This window comes from Homo sapiens, chromosome 11, assembly GCF_000001405.40.
Source record: "Homo sapiens chromosome 11, GRCh38.p14 Primary Assembly".
Taxonomy (NCBI): domain Eukaryota; kingdom Metazoa; phylum Chordata; class Mammalia; order Primates; family Hominidae; genus Homo; species Homo sapiens.
Genome location: NC_000011.10, coordinates 23,628,128 through 23,632,550, shown reverse-complemented (window position 1 = coordinate 23,632,550; position 4,423 = coordinate 23,628,128).

Sequence of the window (4,423 nt, the reverse complement as noted above, 5' to 3'; positions counted from 1 at the left end):
CAGGCATTTGATTTACAATCACTGGGATGTGCGAATCCCTTCCGGCTAGTGCTAGTTTACATGCTCCCTCTGTGGGCAGGCATCAGCTGAATGTGATCTGGTTTTCCTTTCTGCTTCAACAGAATAGCACTGAGTTCAGTGCCTCACAATTGCTGTGCTCTCCCTCCCTCAGCACCCATCCAGCCAGGGGTTGGGGAGGGGTGATGTCAGTGATTCATTACTGTTTTTTTTTTTTCTATTTTTTCAGTGCCTCTTTCAGAAATATGAAATTAAAACCAAGTACTGAGAGTGCTCACCTAATTTTTTATTCCTATGTTGTTTTGTTTTTTTTTTTCCTGTGTAGATAGTTGTTAACTTGGTGTCCTTGCAGAAGAGACTATCAGTGGAGCTTTCTCTTTCACTATCTTGCTTCACCTCTTTGTGAGTTATTTTTAAATAATTCTTCTCCCACCACTACAATTTTAGCTAAGTTTAATAGGTTTCTAATTCTGACAAATGGCACTACTGGGTATGCCTGATTTTGTTTATGTATGGAATCTTCAAAGGTACAGAGCGCCAATTTAAATCATACCCTCCATTTATAGATTTCCAAAGACCAGAGGGACAATAAGTCTTTTAAGTTTATTCCTGTGCTTCTACTAATGAAATCTCAGGCTATTGTCATTTAGTTACCCCGTGCTACTCTCCCTCAGTTAGAGAAGTATATTTTACACTCCCTTTTTGGTGAGTTTCCCATATTTGTTCTCTAGCATGTTGTTTCTTTAGTGTGATTTATCCATTTTTCTAAATCTGTGCTGATTCTTCAGTCTATTGATATTCTTTCTCTTATGGCTAAAATAACATCCATAAACAATCCATATCATTCAATACATCTTTTTGCTCAGTATGGCTCTCTTTGTTAAAAGACAGATTTGTGTGTGTGTGTATATATATATATATATATATACACATATAATATATATGTACACATACACCATATATATGCCACTGTATACCATATATATGGTGTATACCACATATATGGTGTATATATGTATATATGTATATATATGGTGTATATATGTTGTATATATGTATATATATACAAACCATATATATGGTATACAGTGGTGTATATATGTGTGTGTGTGTGTATATATATATATATGGTATACAGTGGTGTATATATGTGTGTGTGTGTGTGTGTGTGTATATATGTATATATATATATATACACATATATACACACACACCATGGAAAACTATATACCTTAGAAAACTAGGGTATATAGTGCATATAGTGTATTTGCAACAACCTGGAGTGAACTGGAAACTATTATTCTAAGTGAAGTAACTCAGGAAGGGAAAACCAAACACCATATGTTCTCACTCACATGTGAGAGCTAAGCTATGAGGATGCAAGCACGGTGGCTGATGCCTGTAATCCCAGCAATTTGGGAGGCTAAGGCAAGTGGATCACGAGGTCAGGCATTCGAGACCAGCCTGGCCAACATAGTGAAACCCCATCTCTACTAAAAATACAAAAAATTAGCTGGGTGTGGCGGCAGGCGCCTATAATCCCAGCTACTCGGGAGGCTGAGGCAGGAGAATCGCTGGAACCTGGGAGGCACAGGTTGCAGTGAGCAGAGATCGCCTTACTGCACTCCAGCCCTAATGATACATAGTACTTTGGGGACTCGGGAGAAAGGGTGAGGAAGGCAAAGATAAATTATAAATAAATAAATAAATAATTTTATAAAGTAGTTCTATTACATCTCTATATCCATTTGAGATCTAGAATATTCATTTTGAGGTGTGAGAAATTAATTCCCACAAAAAAGTAAATGCATAGAAGTGATTCCTTGTCAAAAAAACATGCAACAGAGAAATATCTAGTTGCACTGGCTCAAGTTATGACTAAGAATTTTAATGTTTGTGCTAGGCTTTGTATATTAGTTGGATTAATTAGCTACCTTCTGGTGGTCATATGATTAATAAGAGTTTGTTACCCATTCTTAGCTTGGTATTCATGTTGAGATGTTAACATTATATAATATATATTATATATACATATATGCATATATATATGTACACACACGTACTTCTTGGAGATATATATATATATATATATATATATATATATATATATAACATTTTCTTTATCTGCTTGTCAATTAATGGGCATTTGGGCAGGTTCCATAGTTTTGCAATTGCAAATTGTGCTGCTATAAACTTGCGTGTGCAAGTGTCTTTTTGTATAATAACTCCTTTTCTTCTGGGTAGATACCTAGTAATGGGATTGCTGGATCAAATAGTAGATCTACTTTTAGTTCTTTAAGGAATCTCCACACTGTTTTCCACAGTGGTTTAAAGTTCAGTTACAGGCCAAAATAGACCTTTTAAATAGGGTATATTTTGAAGTGTCAGGTACTTTCTAGTTCAAAATGCCAGTAGTCAGACCGGGTAAGGATCACAGCTTTTTGCAAAAATTCTTGAGTTAACGTAACTACAGATTACAGGTATTTCCAATATAATTTGAGCATGGGAATTGTAAAGTACTATGAACTTTATTGTGTTATGATTCTTTGTCGTTTGTTTCATAGTAACTTGAGGTATTGTGAGTAATAACATAACAGAAGCAGTACATTCTTTCTCCAGACACTAAATAATCTAATCAGTTTATGCATCTTTTGCTTGTGTTTTTGATATGGAAGATAACTTAGGTTTTGTTTGGTTGAGAAATGTCTCTAGTTTCACTGGCTCAAGTTATGACTAAGAATTTTAATGTTTTTGCTAGGCTTTGTATATTAGCTGGATTAATTAGCTACTTTCTGGTGGTCATGTGACTAATAAGAGTTTGTAACTCTTGGGAGGCCGAGGCGGGCGGATCACGAGGTCAGGAGATCGAGACCATCCTGGCTAACACAGTGAAACCCCGTCTCTACTAAAAAACACAAAAAAATTAGCCGGGCGTGGTGGCGGGCGCCTGTAGTCCCAGCTACGCGGGAGGCTGAGGCAGGAGAATGGCGTGAACCCGGGAGGCGGAGCTTGCAGTGAGCCGAGATCGCGCCACTGCACTCCAGCCTGGGCGACAGAGCGAGACTCCGTCTCAAAAAAAAAAAAAAAAAAGAGTTTGTAACTCATTCTTAGCTTGGTATTCATGTTGAGATGTTAACATTATCTTAACATTATCAATATAATGATAACAGAACTTTTCAATAGAGTCACATTTAAATGTTTCCTCACTAAGTTTACAATAAGCAGCTTACAATAATTTAAATATCTCTATGAGAGCATAGTAAAATTTTATTGAAAGCTAACAAAATGAATGAAAATTGACTCTGGCTTTTTTGAAAAGAAAGTATCAGCCAAACCAATCACAAAATAGCAGTCTCACTGAGACTGATGCCCAACTTGTATTATTAACACCATATCTGGCATACACAATGCTATTGTCTTTATTTAGTCCTCTATATCATATATATTACTAGAAACACAGTATCATTTCATAATGATAAAGACGGGTGTCTATTCTCCAAGATAAAATAGCAACCCTATCTATGTGCATGTAACTTACAAATACATGAAAAAAAATCAAATAGAACTGAAAAGAAAAATATGTAAATCTGAAATTATACATGGAAACCTCTGTGCTCCTCTCAATAACTAACAGAACATGTGCACAGAAAATCAATAAGGATACAGAAGTCCCAAAGAACACTATCAACTAACTTGACCTAATTGGCATTTATAGGACACTTCGTACAAGAGAACATAGATACAAATTGTGTTTAAGTTTAAATTTCTTATTTTACTCATAAATTGCTCATTGGTATATTTTTTCTTCTTCTCTTATGTATGAATGTGTGCGTAGCACACCTTTACAAATATATATGAATATAAACATAAAAATCAGAATAAGTGATAGAAAACGTAATAGGAAAATCTCATTTAAAAAAGCAAAAAGGAACATAAAACACCTAGGCATAAACTTATCAAGAAGTTTCCAAAATTGTATTTTTAAAACTATAGAATACACTAAAATATAACAAATATACTATAATATTTTGTTATTGAATAAAATAATCTGAGATTATTAAATCATTAGTTTTTCTTAAATTAATGTATACATTTAACACAATTAAAATAGCCTCAGTATTTTTGTCTTTGAAAGTAGACAATATAATTATAAAACCTATTAGAAGGACAATCAAGCAAAATAGCATTGAAAAGTTTGAGGAAAGGGGGGAAAACAGCAGAGATACCCACAGATAGATAATGAAAGGAACAGAATGGAAAATTTAAACATAAATTCAGTTCCTATGGGAATTAACAAACGCTAAAGGCAAACTTGAAATTGGTGAGGAAAAGATAATCTTTTTTCATAAATGGTGTTGGGATTACTGGATAGCCATGTGGAAAATAGAAAGTGATAAATCCATGC